Source organism: Homo sapiens, chromosome Y (assembly GCF_000001405.40).
Source record: "Homo sapiens chromosome Y, GRCh38.p14 Primary Assembly".
Classification (NCBI taxonomy): domain Eukaryota; kingdom Metazoa; phylum Chordata; class Mammalia; order Primates; family Hominidae; genus Homo; species Homo sapiens.
The window spans coordinates 18,205,301-18,230,128 of record NC_000024.10 but is presented as its reverse complement, the minus strand read 5'-3'; the positions used below and the strand labels follow the sequence as shown (position 1 = coordinate 18,230,128).

General features: G+C 38.5%; 2 long non-coding RNA genes across 2 annotated transcripts; both read right to left on the bottom strand.

The window, feature by feature from the left end:
- Positions 1 to 12,627: 12,627 nt before the first annotated feature.
- On the bottom strand, positions 12,628 to 13,428 carry LOC105377219 (uncharacterized). Its single transcript, XR_001756090.2, has 3 exons — positions 13,346 to 13,428; positions 13,173 to 13,258; positions 12,628 to 13,084 (listed from the first exon to the last, which is right to left on the bottom strand). It is a non-coding gene; the product is annotated as an uncharacterized LOC105377219 (long non-coding RNA).
- A 3,617-nt stretch (positions 13,429 to 17,045) lies between these two features.
- On the bottom strand, positions 17,046 to 23,906 carry LOC124905303 (uncharacterized). The gene is made up of 3 exons (XR_007068456.1): positions 21,915 to 23,906; positions 21,079 to 21,827; positions 17,046 to 20,990 (listed from the first exon to the last, which is right to left on the bottom strand). It is a non-coding gene; the product is annotated as an uncharacterized LOC124905303 (long non-coding RNA).
- Positions 23,907 to 24,828: the final 922 nt, after the last annotated feature.

Sequence of the window (24,828 nt, the reverse complement as noted above, 5' to 3'; positions counted from 1 at the left end):
CTATTTAGATGAATCCACACATCACAAAGCAGTTTCACAGATAGCTTCTTTCCAGTTTTTTTTTTTCTGAAGATATTCAGTTTTTCCCCATAGGCCTCAAAGGACTCCAAAATGTCCCTTCACTGATTCTCCAAAAAGAATGTTTCCAACCTGCTGTATCAAAGTAAGGTTTAACACTGTGAGATGAGTCTGCACATCACAAAGCAGTTTCACAGACAGCTACTTTCTAGTCCTCTAATGGGACATATTCATTTGGACCCCACAGGCCTAGATGAGCTTCCAAGTGTTCCATTGCACATTCCCCAAAAAGAGTGTTTCCAACCTGCTCAATCAAAAGAAATATTTAATTCTGTGAGATGAAACCACATATTACAAAGCAGTACACAGATAGCTTCTTTTTAGTTTTTACATGGTGACATTCAATTTATCCCCATGGGCCACAATGGTCTCCCAAATGTCCTTTTGCAGATTCTCCCAAAAGAGTTTTTCCAACCTGCTGGATCAGAAGTGTTTAATTCTGTGCAATGAATCCTAATGTCACAAAAAAAAAATCTTCACAGGAAGTTTCTTTCAAATTTTACCTGGAAATACTGTTTTTTTTTTTTCTCCTTATAGGTCTGAAACGGCTCCCAAATATCCCTTCACAGATCCTCCAGAGTGTTTCCAACTTCCTGAATCAAAGGAAACATTTAACACTGCGAGATGAATCAACAAACTACAAAGCTGTTATACAGATAGCTTCTTTCCAGTTTTTACCTGGATACATTCAGTTTTATTCTTGAGCCTCAATGGGCTCCCAACTCTCTCTTTGTATATTCTTCAAAAACAGTGATTTCAACCTGCTGAATCAAAAGAAAAGTTTAACTCTGTGAGATAATCCACACATCAAAAAGCAGTTTCACAGATAGTTTCTTTCTAGTATTTTACTGGGGGTACTCCTTCTAGTATTTTACTGGGGGTACTCCTTATTTCCACATGGGAAGCAATGGGCTCCAAAACGTCCCTTCACTGATTCTCCAGAAAGACTGCTTTCAACTGCTGAATCAAAAGAAAGTTTTAACTCTGTGAGATGAACCCACACATCAAAAAGAAATTTCACAGATAGATTCTTTCTTTTTCTGGCAATATTCAGTTACTTTCCATAGGCCCCAAAGGGCTCCCAAATGTCCCCCAGCACATTCTTCACAAAGAGAGTTTCCAACCTACTGAATCAAAATAAAGGTTTAACTCTGTGAGATGAATCCACATATCACAAAGCAGTTTCATAGATAGCTTCTTTCTAGTTTTTAACTGGGAATGTTTTTTTATTGGTCTCAATTGGCTCCAAAACGTCCTTTTGAGATTCTACCAAAAAAGTGTTTCCAACCTGCTGAATAAAGGGAAACGTTTAACTCTGTGAGGTGAATCCAAAAACTACAAAGCTGTTATACATATAGCTTCTTTCTAGGTTTTACATTGAGATGTTGTACTTTTCACATTGGCCTCAATGGGCTCCCAAAAGTTTCTTTGCAGAACCCCCAAAAGAGCATTTCCAACCTGCTTAATCAAAAACAAACAAACAAAAGGTTTAACTCAGTGAGGTGAATGCACATTTCACAAAGCAGTTTCACAGATTGCTTCTTTCTAGTTTTTATCTGGTGATATTTGCTTTTTCACCATAGTCCTCAATGAGATCCCAAATGTCCCTTTGCATATTCAACAAAGAGACTCTTTCCAATTGCTGAATGAAAAGAATGGCCTATCTCTGTGAGATGAATCCACACATCATAAAGCAGTTACACAGATAGCTTCTCTTTAATTTTACCTGTGGATATTTTTTCCTATGTGCTTCATTGGGCTCCCAAATGTCCCTCTGCAGATTCTCCAAAAGGAGTGTTTCCAACCTGCTGAATCAAAAGGAAAGTTTAGCTCTGTGAGATGAATCCACACATCACAAAGCAGTTTCACAGATAGTTTATTTCTAGTTTTTACCTGAGGATATTAGGTTTTTCTTCATAGGCCTCAAGGGCCTTCCAAATGACCTTTCACAGACTGCCCAAAAAGAGTGTTTCCAATCTGCTGAATCAAAAGAAAGGTTTAACTCTTTGAGATGAACGCACATATCAAAAAGCAGTTTCACACATTGCTTCTTTTTAGTTTTTACTTGGCCATATTCATTTATTTAACATGGCTGCAGTGGTCTCCCAAATGTCCCTTTGCAGCTTCTAGAAAAAGGGTATTTCCAACCTGCTGATTCAAAAGAAAAGTTTGTCTCTGCAATACTAACTCATGCATCACAGAGTAGTTTCACAGATAGATTCTTTCTAGTTTTCATCTGGATGTATTCCATTTTCTTCATAGGCCTGAATGGGATCCAAAATGTCCCTTCACAGATTTTACAAAAAGACTGATTGCAACCTGTGAAATGAAAAAAAAAAAAAAAGGTTTAACTATGGGAGATGAATGCACACATCCAAAAGCAGTTTCCCAGATAGCTTCTTTCCAGTTTTCCCCTAGGGATATTTGTTTTTTCCCTTAGTCCACAATTGGCTCCCAAATGTCCCTATGCAGATTCTCCAAAAAGAATGTTTCCAAACTGCTGAGTCAAAAGAAAGTTTCATCACTGTGAGATCAATCCACACATCACAAAGCAGTTTCACAGATAGCTTCTTTCTAGTTTTTCCCTGGAGGTATTCTGTTTTTCCACATTGGTCTCAATAGGATCTCAAATGTCTCTTGGCAAATTTTCCAAAATGAGTGTTTCCAACCTTTAAAATCAAAAGAAAGGTTTATCTCAGTGAGATTAATTGAGACATCACAAAGTAGTTTCACAGATAGCTTCTTTCTACTTTTTACCTGGGGATATTCAGTTATTCTGCATAGACCTCAATGGGTTTACAAATATCCTCTCACAGATTCTTAAAAAAAAGTTTCCAACGTGCTGAATCAAAGGAAGGTTTATCACTGTAAGATGAATCCACACATCACAAAGCAGTTTCACGGATAGCTTCTTTATATTTTTTATCTGGGAATATTTGATTTGTTCCCTTGGGCTAAAATGGGCTCCCAAATGTTGGTTCAGACATTCTACAAAAACAGTTTTTCCAACCGGTGGAATCAAAAGAAACGTTTGAATCTGTGATATGAATCCACATATCACAAAGCAGTTACACAGAAAGCCTCTCTCTAGTTTTTACCTGGAAATATTCAGGTTTTCCACAGGAGCCTCCATGGGCTCCCAAATGTCTCCTGCAGATTCTCCAAAAAGAGTGTTTTCAACCTGCTGAATCAAAAGAAAGGTTTAACCCTGTGAGATGAATCCTTGCAACACAGAGCATTTTCACAGATATCTTCTTCCTAATTTTTGTCTGGAAATATTCCTTTCTCTTCATATGCATGAAGGGGATCACAAATGTCCCTTTGCAGATTCACCAGAAAGAGTGATTGCAACCCGCTGAATCAAAAGAAAAGTTTACCTTTGTGAGATGAATGCACACAACACAAAACAGTTCCCCAGATAGCTTCTTTCTAGTTTTTACCTGGGGATATTCTGTTATTCCCCTAGGCCACAGTGGTCTCCCAAATGTCCCTTTGTAGATTCTCCCAAAATGTGTTTCCAACCTGCTGAATCAAAACAAAACGTTTAACTCTGTGAGATGAAACCACACATCACCAAGCAGTTGCACAAATAGCTTCTTTCTAGTTTTTGCCTGTGGATATTTTGTTTTTAACCCTTTGGCATCAATGGACTCCCAAATATCCCTTTGTAGGTCTCCAGGAAGAGTGTTTCCATCCTGTTGAATCAAAAGAATCGTTTAACTCTGTAAGTTGAACCCACATATCACAAAGCAGTTTCACAGATAGCCTATTTCGAGTTTTTATCAGGAGATATTTGGTGTATCTCCATGGACCTCAAAAGGCTTCCTAGAGTCCCTTTGCAGATTGTCCAAAAAGAATGTTTTGAACCTGCTGAATCTAAGAAAGTTTAACCCTGTGAGAAGAATCCACACATCAGAAAGCAGTTTCACATGCAGCTTCTTCCCAGTATTTATTCTGGGTATTTGATTTTTTCCCTAGGCCTCAATAGGCTCCCAAATGTCCCTTAGCAGATTCTCTAAAAAGAGTGTTTCCAACCTGCTGCATCATAAGAAAGGTTTACCACTGTGAGTTGAATCCAAACATCACAAAGCAGTCTCACAGATAGCTCCTTTCCAGTTTTTATCTAAGGATATTTGTTTTTTTCTGCCTATGCCTCAAAGAGATCCCAAATGACCCTTCACACATACTCCAGAAAGAGAGTTTTCAACCTGCTGAATCAAAAGAATATTTAAACTCTGTGAGATGAATCCACACATCACAAAGCAGTTTCACAGATAGCTTCTTTCTAGTTTTTACCTGGGATTATTTGTTTTTTCCCCATAGACCTCAATGAACTCCCAAATGTCCCTTTGTAGATTCTCCAATAAGAATGTTTCCAAGCTGTTGAATCAAAAGAAAGGTTTAACTCTGTGAGATGAATCCACAAGTCACAAGGCAGTTTCACAGATAGCTTCTTTCTAGTTTTTATCTGGGGATATGTATTTTTTCCCCTTGGGACTCACTGAGATCACAAATTTCCTTTGCAGATCTTCCAGAAAGACAGTTTCCAACCTGCTGAATCAAAGGAAACGTTTACCTCTCTTAGATGAATCCACACATCACAAAGCAATTTCACAGATAGCTTCCTTCTAGTTTTTACCTGGAGATTTTTTTTTTTTTCTTACAGACCTCAATGGGCTCCCAAATGTCCCTTCAGAGATTCTCCAAGGAGAGTGTCTTTAACCTGCTGAATCAAAGGAAACGTTTGCCTCTGTGAGATGAATCCACAAAATACAAGGCTGTTATACAGATAGCATCTTTCTAGATGTTACTAGGGGATATTCCTTTTCTTTTTTTTTTTCTCATTGTCCTCAATGGGCTCCTGAATGTCACTTCACAAATCCTCCAAAAGAAGTGTTTCCAAACTGCTGAAACTAAAGAAAGGGTTAACTCTGTGAGATGAATCCATAAATCACATAGCTGTTTCATGGACATTTTCTTTCTAGTTTTCACCAAGGAACATTCCACTCCCATGGGCTTCACCGAGATCCCAAATATTTTTTGGCAGATTCTCCAAAAAGGGAGTTTCCAACCTGCTGAATCAAAAGCAATGTTTAACTCTGTGAGATGAATACAGGCATCACAAAGCAGTTTCACAGATAGCTTCTTTCTAGTTTTTTTTTTTTTTTCTGGGGATATTCAGTTTTTTTGCATGGGCCACAACTGGCTGTCAAAAGTCCCCTGGCAGATTCTCCAAAAAGAGTTGTTCCAACTGGCTGAATAAAAAGAAAAGTTTACCTCTATGAGATGAATCCAGACAACACAAAGTGTTTCACAGACAGCTAGCTTCTTTCTATTTTTTATCTGGGGATATTCCATATTTTCCCATGGGCCACAGTGGGCTCCCAAATGTCCTTTCACTGATTCTTCTAAAGAGTGTTTTCAACCTACTGAATATAAAGAAATATTTAACTCTGTGAGATGAATCCACACATCACAAAGCAGTATCACAGGTAGCTTTTTTCTAGTTTTATTTGGGGATAATTTTTTTCATGAGCATCAATGGACTCCCAATTATGCCTTAGCAGATTCTACAAAAACAGTGTTTCCATCCAGCAGAAATAAAAAAAGGGTTAAACTCCGTGAGATGAACCCACACATCACAAAGCAGTTTTATGGACAGCATTTTTCTAGTTTTTATCAAGAGATATTCTGTTTTTCCCCATGGGCCTCAATGGGCTCCCAAATATCACCTTGAAGATTCTTCCTAAAGAGTTTTTTCAACTGCTGAATTAAAAGAAACGTTTAACTCTGTGAGATGAATGCATATGACACTGAGCAGTTTCACACATAGTTTCTATATAGTTTTTTCCTGGGGACATTCTGTTTTTTCCCCATAGCCCACAATGAGGTCCAAAATGTCCCTTCACCTATTCTCCAAAAAGAGTGTTTCAACCTGTTGTAACAAAAGGAAGGTTTAAGTTTGTCAGATGAATCCACACATCACAAAGCAGTTTCACAGAGAGCTTCTTTCTAATTTTACTTGGGGATATTCGTTTTTTTCTGATATGCCTCAATGGGCTCACAAATATGCCCTGGCAGATTCTCCAAAAAGAGTATTTCCAAGATACTGAATCAAAAGAAAGATTTCACTTTGTGAGGTGAATCCATGCATCACAAAGCAGTTTCACGGATATATTCTAGTTTTTACCCTGAGATATTTAGTTTTTTCCCCATGGGCCTCAATGGTTTCCAAAATTTATCTTTGTAAATTTTCCAAGAGGAGTGTTTCCAACCTGCTGAATCAAAAGAAAGGTTTAACTCTGTGAGATGAATCCATACATCTCAAAGGCATTTCACAGATAGCATCTTTCTAGTTTTTGTCTGGAAATATTCAGTTTCTTTGATAGAGCATCAATAGGTTTCAAAATGTCCCTTCTCAGATTCTACATGCTGAATAAAAGGAAAGGTTTATTCATTTGAGATGAATCCGCAATCACAAAGCAGTTTTACAGTAACCTTCTTCCTAGTTTTTGTCTGTGGATATTCTGTTTTTCCTCATGGGCCTCACTTGGCTCCCAAATGTCCCTTTGCATATTCATCAAAAAGAGTGTTTCTAACCTGCTGAATAGGAAAAAAACGTTCAAACCTTTGAGATGAATCCACAAATTGCAAAGAAGTTTTACACATAGCCTGTTTCTAGTTTTAATCTAAGAATATTTGAAATTTTCCATGGGCCTCAATGGGTTCTTGAATGTCCCTTTGGAGATTCTCCAAAAAAAGTGTCTTGAACCTGCTGAATCAAAAGAAAGATTTAACTCTGTGAGATAAATCCATACATCACAAACCAGTTTTACAGATAGCTTATTTGTGGGTTTTACAGGAAATATTCAGTTTTTTTGCATGGGTCCCACTGGGCTTCCAAATGTCCCTTTGCAGTTTCTCCAAAAAGGGTGTTTCCAATCTACTGAATCAAAAGAAAGGGTTAACACTGTGAGATGAATCTACACATCACAAAGCAGTTTCACAGAGAGCATCTTTCTAGTTTTTACTGTGAAATATTTAATTTTTCCCCATAGGCCTCAATGGGCTCCCAAATTTCCCTTCACAGATTCTCCAAAAAAAGTGTTTCCAAAGTGCTGTATCAAAAGAGAAATATAACACTATGAGATGAATCCACAGCTCACAAAGCAGTTTCACATATAGCTTCTTTCTAGTATTTTTCTGGGGATATTGAATTTTCCCCCCTGGGCCTTGATGAACTGCCAAATAAATGTCTCTTCAGGCATTCTTAAAGAAGAGTCTTTCCCACCTGGTAAATCAAAAAAAAAAAAAAAACATTGAACTCTGTGAGATAAATCGGGACTTCCCAAAGCTGTTTCACAGATAGCTACTTTCTAGGTTTTACATGCAGTTATTCAGTTTTTCCTCATGGGCCTCAATGGGCTACCAAATGTCCAGTTGCAGATTCACCAAAAAGAGTGTTTCTAACCTGCTGCATCAAAACAAGGTTCAAAGCTTTTAGATGAATCCACACATTGCAAAGCATTTTTCCGGATAGCTTGTTTCTAGTTTTGATCTAAATGTATTCCGTTTTTTTTCCCATGGGCCTCAATGGGATCCAAAATGTCCCTTTGCAGATTCTCCAAAAAAAAGTGTTTCCAACCTGATGAATCAAAAGTAATGTTTAACTCTGTGAGTTTAATCCTCACTTCAAAAAGCAATTTCACAGATTTTTTTCTGTTTTTTACACAAGTTTACTGGGTTTTTCCCTGTGGGCCTCAATGGGTTCCCAACAGTCCCTTCACAGATTCTCCAAAAAGAGTTTTTCCAACCTGCTGAATCAAAAGAAAGGTTTAATTCTCTGAGATGAATCCATACATTGCAAAGCAGTTTCACAGATAGCTTCTTTCTAGTTTTTACTTGAGATTTTTGTTTTTTTCCCAGTGGGCCTCAATGAACTCTCAAATGTCCCTTCCAGATTTTCCAAAGAGTATTGAAGCCTGCTGAATCAAAAGAAAAATATAACTCTGTGAGATGAATCCACCCAGCACAAAGCAGTTTCACAGATAGCTTCTTATTTGTACATGGGGATATTTCTTTTTTCCCATGGGCCACAATGGGCTACCAAATGTTTGTTGGTAGATTGTCCAAAAAGAGTGTTTGCAACCTGCTGAAACAAAAGAAATATTCAACACTGTGAGATGAACCCACACATCACAAAGCAGTTTAACCGATATATTGTTTCTAGTTTTTGCCTGGAGATATTCAGTTTTTCTCCATGTGCCTCAAGGGGCATCAAAATGTCCTTTGCAGATGCTCAAAAAAGATTGTTTCCAACTTGCTGTATTAAAGGAAAGTTTTATCTCTGTAAGATGAATCCACACATCAGAAATCAGTTTCACATATACTTTTTTTTCTGATTTTTACCTGGGAATATTTGGTTTTCCCCCAAAGGCCTCAATGGGGTCCCAAATATAAATTCACAGATTCTCCAAAAGGAGTGTTTCCAACCTACTGAATCAAAACAAAGATTTAGCTCTGTGAGATTAATCGATACATCACAAATCAGTTGGCCAATCCAATTGGATAGACATGGTATAAAATACTTAAAATTTCCAGATTTGATCCAAATTTAATTGTAGTTCCTTTAAACTGGTTTAAAGTTCAAGCCACCTTTCAACATTCCATTCTGTGGAAAATTCACTTGGTTGATTTCATTGGTATTATTGACAATCATTATCCAAAGAACAAATTGTTTGATTTTATAAAACTTACGTCTTCAGTGGTCCCTTGATTAAGCAAAAATCAGCCCATTCCTGGGGCCATCACAGTGTTCACTAATGGCTCCAGCAATGCAAATGCTGGTTATATAGGTCCTACAGACAAGCTTATTTCTACCCCTTATACCACTACTCGAGAGGCAGAGTTAATTGCTGTAATTGTTGTCTTATAGGATTTCCCCAAGCCTTTAAATATTGTCTCTGATTCCATTTAACGTGGGAAAGAGGATATGCTTGTGTTTCACCAGGAGATCATCAAACGAAAACCACAGGGAAAAGACGTCAATGTCAGAGACCACACTTAGATGTGGTAAGATCTGTGTCAACTCCTTAGAAGCTGGCACACTAAATCACAATGGGTCTGATTCAATCCCCCCAATGACAACGGAGACCCATCTAACTAATTACACTTCGAATTACCTTTATTTTTCTCCTTACAAACCTAAAAATCTTACCATTTCTGTTGGCCTAAAAATAACATCCCTCTGTTCTTTTCTTCCTCCTTCAGCACTAAATCTTGCTTACAGTAGGTTTTACTGAATCATTCTCCCCCTTATACTTTCTGTCTCACTAGTTTCCTCACACACTGATTTACCTGCTACACAAAATTATTCTTACTGGGCTTATGTGCCTTTTCCTCCACTTGTTTGACCTCTCACCTGGACGGATGCTCCTGCAGAAATCTACACTAATGATAGTGTGTGGATGACTGCAGCTACAGATGACAATTGCTCCACTCAACCAGGGGAAGAAGGCACTGTATTTAATGTTATCATGGGTTATAAATACCCACCTCTGTGCCTCCAACATGCACCTGATTGTATCCATCTAGAAACTCAATTCTGGGCTACTTGTCTTCCAGAGAGATCAGCCACAGAGGAACTGGGACATTTGGTCTCTGGCCTCTCCCTTTCTTCTTTAAAGGAAATGAAAGAGGGAGTAATGGGAGATACCCCATACTTTCAATATAAACCTGCAGGAAAACCATGCCCTAAAAATTTTGATGGCTCATGTAAAACCTTAATTTTGGAAGACAGTGTTAACTCGCATGCAGTAACATTTAAAATGACTCATATGGTTTAGTAATAGACTGGGCACCAAAGGGTTATTTAAAATCTGTTGCTCCTCTGGTGGAAGGGAATGCCTGGAGGCTGCTTATTTTATTTCTTATCTGGAGAACGAGAATCATCATTTTACTTTACATAGGAGGTTGAGCTCATTCTTTCCCTTGAAATGGGAAGATGAAAGCATTACCCCACCCCATTGAGGCAGCATATAATATTCCCCATCCTGAGCTCAGAATACCCAGAACTTTGAAAATTGGCGATTGCCATGTCTGGACTGTGAGCATGGAAAGGGGAAACTATTCTGTCTGTTGTCCCCACTACCATCCCTCTCTCTCAGTATTGACTTAGATCCAGACAGTATGTTTTACTTACCTCTAACCCGACTGTTCCCATACAGAGATATGTTAAGCCTCCTTACATGCTGTTAGTGGGAAATATCAAAATTTGAACGAACAATCAAACTGTTCAATGCATCATCTGTCATTATACACTTGCATTAACCCCCATTTTCACTCCACGAAAAGTGTATTGTGGTTAGAACTCAAGAAGGAATCTGTATTCCAATAATTTTGCCCAGACCTTGGGAATCTTCCCCCTCAATACATTTAATTAATGAATTGTTACAACGAATTCTAAAAAGATCTAAGAGATTTGTTTTCACGTTAATCACAGTAATCATGGGCCTAATTAGTCACTGCACTGGTGACCACTGCCGGAATGGTGTTACATCAATCTATTCAAACAGCTGATTTTTTTAATGATTGGCAAGCCAATTCCACCCAAATGTGGAATTCTCAACAAGGCATTGATCAAAAATTGGCTAATCAAATTAATGATTTAAGACAGTCTGTTATTTGCTTGGAGATCAGGTAGTGAGTCTCGAACATCACACGCAATTGCAGTGCAATTGGAACAGTTCTGATTTCTGTACTACTCTGTATTCCTACAATGAGATAGATCATTCATGAGAAGTGGTCAAAGGACACCTTCTAGGTCAGGAAGATAATTTATCACTGGACATAAGTAAATTAAAGAAACAAATTTTTGAAATCTCTCAATCTCATTTGTCCATTGTGCCTGCAGCTGGGGCATTAGATCAGGTGGCAGAAAATCTTTCCGGGCTAAACCTCACAACTTGAATTAAGTCTGTGGGGGCTTCACTGTAGTAAATTTTGGAATTATGTTTTTCTGTTTAATAAGCTTGTCTTTAGTGTGCTGGAACAGTCAAAGACTCCTGCCTCAAAATTGAGAGAACAAACAAGCCTTTAACACCATGGCACATTTATATAAAAGAAAGGGAGAGATGCTGCGGGAAGTCAGGGACCCCAGTTGGAGGGACCGGCTGAAACCATGGCAGAAGAACATAAATTGTGAAGATTTCATGGACATTTATTATTTCCCCAAATTAATACTTTTATAATTTCTTATGTCTGTCTTTAGGGCAACCTCTGAACATAAATTGTGAAGATTTCATGGACATTTATCACTTCCCCAATCAATACTCTTGTGATTTCCTATGCCTGTCTTTACTTTAATCTTTTAACCCTGTCATCTTTCTAAGCTGAGGAGGTACATTGCCTCAGGACACTGTGATGATTGCATTAACTGCACAAATTGTTTGTAGAGCATGTGTGTTTAAACAATATGAAATCTGGGCACTTTGTAAAAAGAACAGGATAACAGTGATGTTCAGGGAACAAGGGAGAAAACCATTAGGTCTGACGGACTGGGAGCTGGGTGGAACAGCCATATTTCTCCTCTTACAAAAGTGAATAGGAGAAATATTGCTGAGTTATTTTTCTCAGCAAGCAACAGCCCTGAGAAAGGGAATGCATTCCCAGGGATATGTCTCTAAAATGGCCGGTCTGGGAGTTTCTGTCTTATAGGATTGCAGGTAATGGATGAAATAAGCCCTGGCCTCCCATTGTGCTCCCAGGCCTATTAAAATGAGGAAGTTACTGCCTAGTAAATTTTAGTCAGACTGGTTGTCTGCTCTCAAACACTGTCTCCTGATAAGATGTTATCAATGACAATGTATGCTTAGTGGGACATGAAACTCCATTAGCAATTTTGATTTCACCACAGTCCTGTGATCTCACTCTGCCCCCATTTGCCTTGCCATATTTTATTTCCTTGTGAAGTATGTGATATCTATGACCCAAACCCTTTCATGCTCTCTCTCCCCTTTGAAAATCACTAATAAAACTTGCAGGTTTTGTGGCTTGGGGTACATCACAGAACCTGCTGACATATGATGTCTCCCCCGGACACCCATCTTTAAAATTTCTCTCTTCTGTACTCTTTCCCTTTATTTCTCAGGCCAGACTACACTTGGGGAAAATAGAAAAAAATCTACATTGAAACATTGGGGGCTGGTTTCCCCTTATAATAGATAGCTTCCATCTTGTTTTTATCTTGGGCTATCAGGTTTTTCCACATGGACCTCAATTGGCTCCCAAATGTCACTTTGCAAATTCTTCAAAAAGATTTTTCCAACCGTCTGTATAAAAGAATGGTTTAACTATGTAAAGTGAATTCATACAACACAAAAACAGTTTCAAAAAATAGTTTCTTTCTACTTTTTATTCGGGTATATTCTGTTTTCCCATGTGGGCTTCAATGTGCTCCCAAATATCCCTTCACAGATTCTCCAAGGAGAGATTTTCCAACCTGCTGAATCAAAAGAAAGGTTTGACTCTGTCAGTTGAATTCACACATCATAAAGCAGTTTCACAGATAGTTTTTATTGATTTTTATCTGGTAATATTCTGTTTTTCCTTATGGGTTTCCATGGCCTCCCCAGTTTCCCTTTGCAGATTGTTCAAAAAGAGTGTTTCCAACCTGCTGAATAAAAAGAAAAGTTTAACTCTGGGACATGAATCCAAACATCACAAAGCATTTTCACAGATAGCTTCTTTTTAGGTTTTGCCTAGGGATACTCCTTTTTTTCCTTCATTGGCTTCAATGGACCAAAATATATTGTTCCAGATTGTCCAAAAGGAGTGCTCCAAACGTGCGGAATCAAACGAAAGGATTAACTCTGTGAGATGAATCCACACATCACAAAGCAGTTTCACAGATAGATTCCACTGTTTTTCTGGGGATATTCAGTTATTCAACAGCTCAGTGGACTCCAAAAAGTCCCTTCACAAATTCTCCAAAAAGAGTTTTTCCAATCTGCTGAATCCAAAGAAAGATTTAACTCTGTGAGACAAATCCATACATCACAAAGCAATTTCACAGATAGCTTCTTTCTAGATTTTACCTGAAGATATTCGTTTATTTTTTCCATGGGCCTCAATTAACTTCAAAATATTTCTTCATAGATCCTTTAAAAAGAGTATTTCAAACCTGCTGAATAAAAGAAAGGGTTAACTCTGTGAGATGAATCCACACAACACAAAGCAGTTTCACAGATATGTTCTTTCTAGTTTTTACCTAGGTATACCATATTTTTCCCCACAGGCCTCAATGGGCTCCAAAATGTCCCCTTGCAGATTCTCAGAAAATGTGTTTCCAACCTGCAGTATCAAAAGAAAGGTTTAATTATTTGAGGTGAATCTACATACCACAGAACAGTTTCACAGATAGCTTCTTTCTAGTTTTTATCTGGGGTTATTCGAATTTTCCTCATTGCCATTGGTGGGCTCCCCATTGTCCTATCACACATTCTCCAAAAGTGTTCAACCCTATGAGAGGAATCCAGGCATCACAAAGTAGTTTCACAGATAGCTTCTTACTTATTTTCTTTTTTTTTAAATGTCTAACCCCATCACAATTTTATTATTATTATTATTGTTATTATACTTTAAGTTTTAAGGTACATGTGTACAATGTGCAGGTTTGTTACATATGTATACATGTGTCATGTTGGTGTGCTGTACCCATTAACTCATCATTTAGCATTAGGTATATCTCCTAATGCTATCCCTCCCCCCTCCCCCTACCGCACAACAGTCCCCAGTGTGTGATGTTCCCCTTCCTGTGTCCATGTGTTCTCATTGTTCAATTCCTACTTATGAGTGAGAACATGTGCTGTTGGGTTTTTTGTCCTTGCAATAGATTGCTGAGAATGAGTAATGGGATGGCTGGGCAAATGGTATTTCTAGATCTAGATCCCTGAGGAATCGCCACACTGACTTCCACAATGGTTGAACTAGTTTACAGTGCCACAAACAATCTAAAAGTGTTTCTATTTCTCCACATCCTCTCCAGCACCTGTTGTTTCCCGACTTTTTAATAATCACCATTCTAACTGGTGTAAGATGGTATCTCATTGTGGTTTTGATTTGCATTTCTTGGATGGCCAGTGATGATGAGCATATTTTCATGTGTTTTCTTGGCTGCCTAAATGTCTTCTTTTGAGAACTGTCTGTTCATATCCTCTGCCCACTTTTGGATGGGGTTGTTTTTTTTTTTTTCTTGTAAATTTGTTTGATTTCATTGTAGATTCTGGATATTAGCCCTTTGTGAGATGAGTAGGTTGCAAAAATTTTCTCGTATTCTGTATGTTGCCTGTTCACTCTGATGGTAGTGTCTTTTGCTGTGCAGAAGTTCTTTAGTTTCATTAGATCCCATTTGTCAATTTTGGCTTTTGTTTCCATTACTTTTGGTGTTTTAGACATGAAGTCCTTGTCCATGCCTATATCCTGAAAGATAATGCCTAGGTTTTCTTCTAGGGTTTTTATGGTTTTAAGTCTAACATGTAAGTCTTTAATCCATCTTGAATTAATTTTTGTATAAGGTGTAAAGAAGGGATCCAGTTTCAGCTTTCTACATATGGCTAGCCAGTTTTCACAGCACCATTTATTAAATAGGGAATCCTTTCCCCATGGCTTCTTTTTGTCAGGTTTGTCAAAGATCAGATAGTTGTAGATATGTGGCATTATTACTGAAAGCTCTGTTCTGTTGCATTGGTCTATATCTCTGTTTTGTACCAGTACCAAGCTGTTTTGGTTACTGTAGCCTTGTAGTATAGTTTGAAGTCAGGTAGTGTGATGCCTCCAGCTTTGTTCTTTTCACTGAGGATTGTCTTCGCAATGTGGGCTCCTTTTTGGTTCTGTATGAAATTTAAAGTAGTTTTTTCCAATTCTGTGAAGAAAGTCACTGGTAGCTTGATGGGGATGGCATTGAATCTATAAATTACCTTGGGCAGTATGGCCATTTTCATGATATTGATTCTTCCTACCCATGAGCATGGAATGTTCTTCCATTTGTTTGTATCCTCTTTTATTTCATTGAGCAGTGGTTTGTATTTCTCCTTGAAGAGGTTCTTCACATCCCTTGTAAGTTGGATTCCTAGGTATTTTATTATCTTTGAAGAAATTGTGAATGGGAGTTCATTCATGGTTGGCTCTCTGTTTTTCTGTTATTGGTGTATAATAATTCTTGTGATATTTGCTCATTGATTTTGTATCATGATACGTTGCGGAAGCTGCCTATCAGCTTAAGGAGACTTTGGGCTGAGACGATGGGGTTTTCTAAATATACAATCATGCCATCTGCTAAAAGGGAGAATTTGACTTCCTCTTTTCCTAATTGAATACCCTTTGCCTTCTTCTCCTACCTGATTTTCCTGGCCAGAACTTCCAACACTATGTGGAATAGGATTGGTGAGAGAGGTCATCTCTATCTTTTGCCAGCTTTCAAAGGGATTGTTTCCAATTTTTGTCCATTCAGTATGATTTTGGCTGTCAGTTTGTCATAGATAGCTTTTATTATTTTGAAAGACATCCCATCAATACCTAATTTATTGAGAGTTTTTTTTATTATTATTATACTTTAAGTTTTAGGGTACATGTGCACATTGTGCAGGTTAGTTACATATGTATACATGTGCCATGCTGGTGCGCTGCACCCACTAACTCGTCTTCTAGCATTAGTTATACCTCCCAATGCTATCCCTCCCCCCTCCCCCCACCCCACCACAGTCCCCAGAGTGTGATATTCCCCTTCCTGCAAATCAAAACCACTATGAGATACCATCTCACACCAGTTAGAATGGCAATCATTAAAAAGTCAGGAAACAACAGGTGCTGGAGAGGATGTGGAGAAATAGGAACACTTTTACACTGTTGGTGGGACTGTAAACTAATTCAACCATTGTGGAAGTCAGTGTGGCGATTCCTCATGGATCTAGATCTAGAAATACCATTTGACCCAGCCATCCCATTACTGGGTATATACCCAAAGGAATATAAATCATGCTGCTATAAAGACACAGGCACACGTATGTTTATTGCAACATTATTCACAATAGCAAAGACTTGGAACCAACCCAAATGTCCAACAATGATACACTGGATTAAGAAAATGTGGCACATATACACCATGGAATACTATGCAGCCATAAAAAGTGATGAGTTCATGTCCTTTGTAGGGACATGGATGAAATTGGAAATCATCATTCTCAGTAAACTATCGCAAGAACAAAAAACCAAACACCGCATATTCTCACTCATAGGTGGGAATTGAACAATGATATTGAGAGTTTTTAACAAGAAGCGTTGTTGAATTTTGTCAAAGGCCTTCTCTGCATCTATTAAGATAATCATGTGTTGTTTGTCTTTGGTTCTGTTTACATGCTGGATTATGTTTATTGATTTTCATATGATGAACCAGCCTTGCATCCGAGAGATGAAGCCCACTTCATCATGGTGGATAAGCTTTTTGATGTATTGCTGGATCCAGTTTGCCATATTTTATTGAGGATTTTTGCAACAATGTTCATCAAGGATATGGGTCTAAAATTCTCTTTTTTTGTTGTGTCTCTGCCAGGCTTTGGTATCAGGATGATGCTGGCCTCATAAAATGAGTTAGGGAGGATTCCTTCTTTTTCTATTGATTGGAATAGTTTCAGAAGGAATGGTACCAGCTCCTCCTTGTACCTCTGTAGAATTCGTCTGTGAATCCATCTGGTCCTGGGCTTCTTTTTTGTTGGTAAGCTATTTATTATTGCCACAATTTCAGAGTCTGTTATTGATCTATTCAGAGATTCAATTTTTTCCTGGTTTAGTCTTGGGAGAGTGGATGTGTCGAGGAATTTATCCATTTCTTCTAGATTTTCCAGTTCATTAGCATTAGAGGTGTTTATAGTATTCTCTGATGGTAGTTTGTATTTCTGTGGGATCGGTGGTGATATCCTCTTTGTCATTTTTTATTGTTTCTATTATATTCTTCTCTCTTTTCTTCTTTATTTGTCTTGCTAGTGGTCTGTCAATTTTGTTGATCTTTTCAGAAAACCAGCTCCTGGATTCATTGATTTTTTGTAGAGTTTTTTGTGTCTCTATTTCCTTCAGTTCTGCTGTGATCTTAGTTTTTTCTTGCCTTCTGCTAGCCTTTGAATATGTTTGCTCTTGCTTCTCTGGTTCTTTTAATTGTGATGTTAGGATATCAATTTTATATCTTTCCTGCTTTCTCCTGTGGGCATTTAGTGTTACAAATTTCCCGCTACGCACTGCTCTGAATGTGTCCCAGAGATTCTGGTATGTTGTTTCTTTGTTCTCATTGGTTTCAAATAACATCTTTATTTCTGCCTTCACTTCGTTATGTACCCAGTAGTCATTCCAGAGCAGGTTGTTCAGTTTCCATGTAAATGAGCGGATTTGAGTGAGTTTCTTAATCCTGAGTTCTAGTTTGATTGCACTGTGGTCTGAGAGACAATTTGTTATAATTTCTATTCTTTTACATTTGCTGAGGAGTGCTTTACTTCCAAGTATGTGGTCAATTTTGGAAAAAGAGTGGTGTGGTGCTAAAAAGAATGTGCATTCTGTTGATTTGGGGTGGAGAGTTCTGTAGATGTCTATTAGGTTCACTGTGTGCAGAGCTGAGTTCAATTCCTGGATATCCTTTTTAGCTTTCTGTCTTGTTGATCTGTCTAATGTTGAAGTGGAGTGTTAACATCTCCCATTATTGTTGTGTGGAAGTCTAAGTCTCATTATAGGTCACTAAGGACTTGCTTTATGAATCTGGGTGCTCCCATATTGGGTGCATATACATTTAGGGTAGTTAGGTCTTCTTGTTGAATTGATCCCTTTAGCATTATGTAATGGCCTTCTTTGCCTCTTTTGATGTTGTTTCATTTAAAGTCTGTTTTATCAGAGACTAGGATTGCAACCCCTGCTTTTTTTGTTTTCCATTTGCTTGGTAGATCTTCCTCCATCCCTTTGTTTTGAGCCTATGTGTGTCTCTGCCTGTGAGATGGGTTTCCTGAATACAGCACACTGATGGGTCTTGATTCTTTATCCAATTTACCAGTCTGTGCCTTTTAATTTGAGCATTTAACCCATTTGCATTTTAGGTTAGTATTGTTATGTGTGAATTTTATCCTGTCATTATGATATTAACTAGTTAGTTGATGGAGTTTCTTCCTAACCTTGATGGTCTTTATAATTTGCATGTTTTTGCAGTGGCTGCTACTGGTCGTTCCTTTCCACATTTAATGCTTCCTTCAGGACCTCTTTTAGGGCAGACATGGTGGTGACAAAATCTCTCAGCATTTGCTTGTCTGTAAAGTACTTTATTTCTTCTTCACTTATGAAGCATAGTTTGGCTTGATATGAAATTCTGGGTAGAAAATTCTTTTCTTTAAGAATATTGAATATTGGCCCCCACTCTCTTCTGGCTTGTAGAGTTTCTGCTGAGAGATGAGCTGTTAGTCTGATGGGTTTCCGTTTGTGGGTAACCCGACCTTTCTCTCTGGCTGCCCTTTACATTTTTTCCTTCTTTTCAACTTTGGTGAATCTGACAATTATATGTCTTGGAGTTGCTCTTCTTGATGAGTATCTTTGTGGCATTCTCTGTATTTCCTGAATTTGAATGTTGGCCTGAATTGTTAGATTGGGGAAGTTGTCCAGGATAATATCCTGCAGAATGTTTTCCAACTTGGTTCCATTCTCCCTGTCACTTTCAGGTACACCAATTAGACATAGATTTGGTCTTTTCACATAGTCCCATATTTTTGGAAATTTTGTTCATTTCTTTTTATTCTTTTTTCTCTAAACTGATCTTCACACTTCATTTCATCTTCCATTGCTGATACCCTTTCTTCCAGTTGATTGCATCAGTTACTGAGGTTTGTGCATTCAGCACGTTGTTCTCGCGCCATGTTTTTCAACTCCATCAGGTTCTCTAAGGACTTTCTTCATTGGTTATTCTAGTTATCCATTGATCTAATTTTTTTTCAAAGTTTTTAACTTCTTTGCCATTGGTTCAAACTTCCTCCTTTAGCTCAGGGTAGTTTGACCTTCTGAAGTCTTCCTCTCACAATTCGTGAAAGTCATTCTCTGTCCATCTTTGTTCCATTGCTGGTGAGGAGCTGCATTCCTTTGAAGGACGAGAGGTGCTCTGATTTTTAGAGTTTCCCGTTTTTCTGCTCTGTTTTTTCCCCATCTTTGTGGTTTTATCTACCTTTAGTCTTTGATGATGGTGACGTACAGATGGGTTTCTGGTGTGGATGTCCTTTCTGTTTGTTAGTTTTCATTCTAGCCATCAGGACCCTCAGCTGCAGGTCTGTTGGAGTTTACTCAAGGTCCACTCCAGACCCTGTTTGCCTGGGTGTCAGCAGTGGTGGCTGCAAAACAGTGGATATTGGTGAACCGCAAATGCTGCTGCCTAATCATTCCTCTGGATGTTTTGGCTCAGAGGCGTACCCGGCCCGGTAAGGTGTCAGTCTGCCTGTACTGATGGGTGCCTCCCAGTTAGGCTACTCAGGAGTCAGTGACCCACTTGAGGAGGCAGTTTGCCCATTCTCATATCTCCAGCTGTGTGCTGGGAGAACCACTAGTCTTCCAAACTCTCAGACAGGGACATTTAAGTCTGCAGAGGTTATTGCTGTCTTTTGTTTGTCTGTGCCCTGCCCCCAGAGGTGGAGCCTACAGAAGCAGGCAGGCCTCCTTGAGCTGTGGTGGGCTCCACCCAGTTCAAGCTTCCCAGCCACTTTGTTTACCTACTCAAGCCTGAGCAATGGCGGGTGTCCCTCCCCCAGCCTCACTGCCACCTTGCATTTTGATCTCAGACTGCTGTTCTAGCAATGAGTGAGGCTCAGTGGGCATAGAACCCTCTGAGCCATGTGTGGGACATAATCTCCTGGCGTGCCATTTCTGAAGCCCATTGGAAAAGCACAGTATTAATGTGGGAGTGACCTGATTTTCGAGGTGCCGTCTGTTGCCCATTTCTTTGACTAGGAAAGGGAATTCCCTGACCTCTTGAGCTTCCTGGGTGAGGTGATGCCTCACCCTGCTTCAGCTCATGCACAGTGTGCTCCACCCACTGTCCTGCACCCACTGTCTGGCACTCCACAGTGAGATGAACCCAGTACCTCAGTTAGAAATGCAGAAATCACCCATCTTCTGCATTGGTCATGGTGGAAGCTGTAGAGTGGAGCTGTTCCTATTTGGCCATCTTGGCTGCACCCCTCTTTCTTATTTTCATCAGGGGATATTTGCTTTCTCCTCATAGGCCACAATGGGCCCTGAATGTACCTTCACAGATTTTCCAAAAAGAGTTCTGTCAACCTGATGAATCAAATGAAAGGTTTAACTCTTTCATTAATCTTTACATCACAAAGCAGTTACACAGACAGCTTCTTTCAGTTTTTATGTAGGGGTATTCAATTTTTCCTTTAGGCCTGAATGGGCTCCCAAAAGTCCCTTTGCTGATTCTACAAATAGAATGTTTCCAACCTGCTGAATCAAAGGAAGGATTTACCTCTGAGATGAATCCACACATCATAGAGCACTTTCCCAGATACCTACTTTCTAGTTTTTACCTGGGCATATTCGTCTTCATCAGCCAGGAGTTACATAGACAGCTTCTTTCTAGTTTTTATCTGGGCATATTTTTTTTTCCATTGGGCCTCAAAGGGGCTCCCAAATGTCCCTTCACAGATTATCCAAAAAGATTGTTTTTAACCTGCTGACTCAAAAGAATGGTGTAAACCTTTGAGATGAATCCAGAAATCATTGAGCAGTTTGACAAATAGCTTCTTTCTAGCTTTTACCTGGGGCTATTACGTTGTTCTCCATGGTTCTCAACGGTCTCTCAAATGTCCACTGTCAGATTTTCCAAAAACCGCGTTTCCAACCTGCTGAATCAAAAGAAAGGCTTAACTCAGTGAGATGAAAGCGCAAATCCCAAAGTAGTTTCCCAGATATCATCTTTCTAGTTTTTACCTGTGGATATTAGGATTTTCCCAATAGGTCTCAATGGGGGTCCAAAATGTCCCTTTGCAGATTCTCCAAAAAGAGTGTTTCCAACCTATTGAATCAAAAGAAAGGCTTAACTCAGTGAGACGAAAACACAAATCACAAAGCAGTTTCCCAGATATCGTCTTTCTAGTTTTTAACTGAGGATATTAGAATTTTCCTGAAAGGCCTTAATGGGACCCAAAATGTCTCTTTGCAGATACTGCTGAATCAAAGGAAATGTTTAACTCTGTGAGATTATTCCACACATCACAAAGCAGTTTCACAGACAGCCTCTTCCTAGTTTTTATCTAGAATTTTTTTTTTCATGGGCCTCAATGGGCTCCCAAATATCCCTTCACATGTTCTCCAAAAAGAGTGTTTCCAACCTGCTGTATCAAAAGAAAGATTTAACTCAGTGAGATGAATCCACACATGACAAGGCAGTGCCACAGATGTCTTCTTTCTGGTTTTTACCTGGGGTTATTCTGTTTATCCCCATAGGCTGCAATGGGCTCCCAAATGTCCCTTTGCAGATTCTCCTAATAGGGTGTTTACGATCTGTTGAATCAAAATAAATGTTTAAATCTGTGAGATGAATCTATACATCACAAAGCAGATTCAGAGATAGCTTCTTTCTAGTTTTTACCTAAGGCTATTCAGTTTTTCCCCATGGGCCTCAGTGGGATCCAAAATATTCCTTTGCACATTCTCCAAAAAAGAGTGTTTCCAACCTCCTGAATCAAAAAAAAAAGTTTTAACTTGGTGACATGAATCCACACATGACAAAGCAGTTTCATAGATAGCTTCTCTCTAGTTCTTACTTGGGGATATTCGGTTTTCTTTCATGGGCTTCAATGGGGTCAAAAATGTCCCCAGGCAGAATCTCCAAAAGAGTGTTTCCAATCTGCCGAATCAAAAGAAAGGTATACCTCTGTGAGATGAATCCGTATCACAAAGCAGTTTCCCAGATAGCTATTATCTAGTTTTTAACTGGGGATATTAGTTTTTTTTTCCCCCCCATGGGCCTCAATTTTATCCAAAATGGCCTTTCACAGTTTATCCAATAAACGTGTTTCCAACTGGCTGTCAAAAGAGAGGTTTAATTCTGTGAGATGAATCCACACATCACCAAGCAGTTTCACAGATAGTTTTTTTCTAGTTGTTATCATGAAATATTCTGTTTTCACCATGGGCCTCAATGTGTTACCAGATATCCTTTTGCAGATTCTCCAAAAATAGTGCTTGCAATATGCTGAATCAACAGAAAACTTTATCTCTGTGAGATGAATTTACAGATGACAAAGGAGTTTCACAGATAGTTTGCTTTTTGTTTTACCCTGTGATACTCAGTTTTTGCCCATAGGCCTCAATGAGCTTCCAAATGTCCTTTCAAATATTGTCAAGAAAGAGCTTTCAACCTGCTGAATAACAGAAAGGTTTAACTCTGAGATAAATCCACACATAAAAAGCAGTTTCACAGATAGCTTCTTTCTGGTTTTTACCTGGCTATATTCGTTTTTTTGTTTTTTATGGGCCTCAGTGGGCTCTCTGATGTCCCTTCACAGATTATCTAAAATAGTGTTTCCAACCTGCTAAACCAAAGAAAGGTTTAACTCTGTGGGATGAATCCACACATCCCAAAACAGTTTTAGAGATAGCGTCTTTCTAGTTTTTATCTGTATTTGTTTTTCCCCATGGGCCTCAAAGGCCCTCAACTGCCCTTGGCAGATTCTCCAAAAAGAGTGTTTCCAACCTGGTGAATCAAAAGAAATGTTTAATTCTGTGTAATGAATCCACACATCAAAAAGCATTTTCACAGATAGCTTCATTCTAGTTTTTATTATGGGATATTCAGGTTTTCCCCATGGGCCTGAATGGATTCCAAATTGTCCATTCACAGATTCTCCAAAAAGAGCGATTCCAACTTGTGGGATCAAAAGAAAGCTTTAACTCTGTTAGATGAATTTACATGTCACAAAGCAATTTCACAGATACTTTGTTTCCCTTATTTACATAGGGATACTTTTTTCCCCATGGGCCTTAATGGACTCTAAAATGTCCTTTCACAGATTCTCAAAAAAGACAGTTTTCAAACTGTTGAATCAAAAGGAAAGTTTAACTCCATGAGCTAAATCTGCACATCACAAAGCAGTTTCACAGATAGCTTCTTCCTAGTTTTTATCTGGAAATTTTCCATTGATTTTAATTTGGGATCTATGGTCTCCCAATTATCCCATTGATTCTCCAAAAAGAGTATTTCCATCCTACTGAATGCAGAGAAAGGTTTAACTTGGTGAGATGAATCCACACATCACAAGACAGTGCCACAGATAGCTTCTTTCTACTTTTTACCTCGGGATATTCAATTTTATGGCCATATGATGCAATGGGCTCCGAAATGTCCCTTTGTAGATTCTCCAAAAACAGTGTTCCCAACCTGCTGAATCAAAAGAAAGTTTTAACACTTTGAGATGAATCTACACATCCCAAAGCAGTTTCACCGATAGGTAGTCTTTACTTCTTTATCTGTGGATATTTGTTTTTTTCCCCTGCGCCTCATTGCATTTCCAAATATCTCTTCACACATTCTACAAAAACAGGTTTCCAACATGATCAATTAAAAGAAAGGTTTTTGTCTGTGAGATGAATCTACACATCACAAAGCAGTTTTACAGATACTTTCTTTCTAGTTTTTACCTACGGATATTTGGTTTTTCCCCATGGACCTCATTGGTATCCAAAATACCCCTTCACAGATATTCCAGAAAAAGTGTTTCCAAATGCTTGAATCAAAAAAAAAAAAAAAAAAAAAAGGTTTAACTCTGTGAGATAAATCCATGCATCACAAATAAGTTTCACAGATTCTTTCTAGTTTTTATCTGGGGATATTAGTTGTTTTTCCTTGGACCTCACTAGGCTCCCAAATATGCCTTTGCAGATTCTCCAAAAAGAGTGTTTCCAACCTGCTGAATCAAAAGAAAGATTTAACTCTGTTAGATGAATCCACACATCACAAAGCTGTTTCACAGGTGTCTTCCTTATAGTTTTTGCCTTGGGATATTCTGTTTTTTTCCTTATAGGTCTCAATGGGCTCCCAAATGTCTCTTCACAGATTCTCCAAAAGAAGTGTCTCCAACCAGCTGAATCAAAAGAAATGTTTAATCCTGCAAGATGAATTCACACTCACAAAGCCATTTCAAAGATAGCTTCTTTTTAATTTTTATCAGGGCATATTCTGTTTTTCCCCATAGTCTCAAAGGGCTCCCAAATATCCCTTCACAGATTCTCCCAAAAGAGTGTTTCCAACCAGTTGAATAAAAAGGAAGGTTTAACTTTGTGAGATAAATCCACACATCACAAATCCATTTCACAGATAGAGTCTTTCTTGTTTTTACCTGGGAATACTCTGTTTTTCCCCACAGTCATCAATGAGCTCCAAAATGTCCCTTTGCAGATTCTACAAAAAGTGTTGCAACCTGCTGTATCAAAAGAAAAATTTACTTCTGTGAGGTGAATCCACACATCACAAAGTAATTTCACAGATAGCTTCATTCTAGTTTTTAACTGAAAATACTTGGTTTTTCTGCATAGTCCAGTTGGAGCACAGAAATGGCCCTTCACAGATTCTCCAAAAAGAATGTTTCCACCTGATGAATAAAAAGAAAAGTATAATTCTGTGAGAAGAATCTACCCATCACAAAGCATTTTCACAGATAGCTTCCGTCTGGTTTTTGT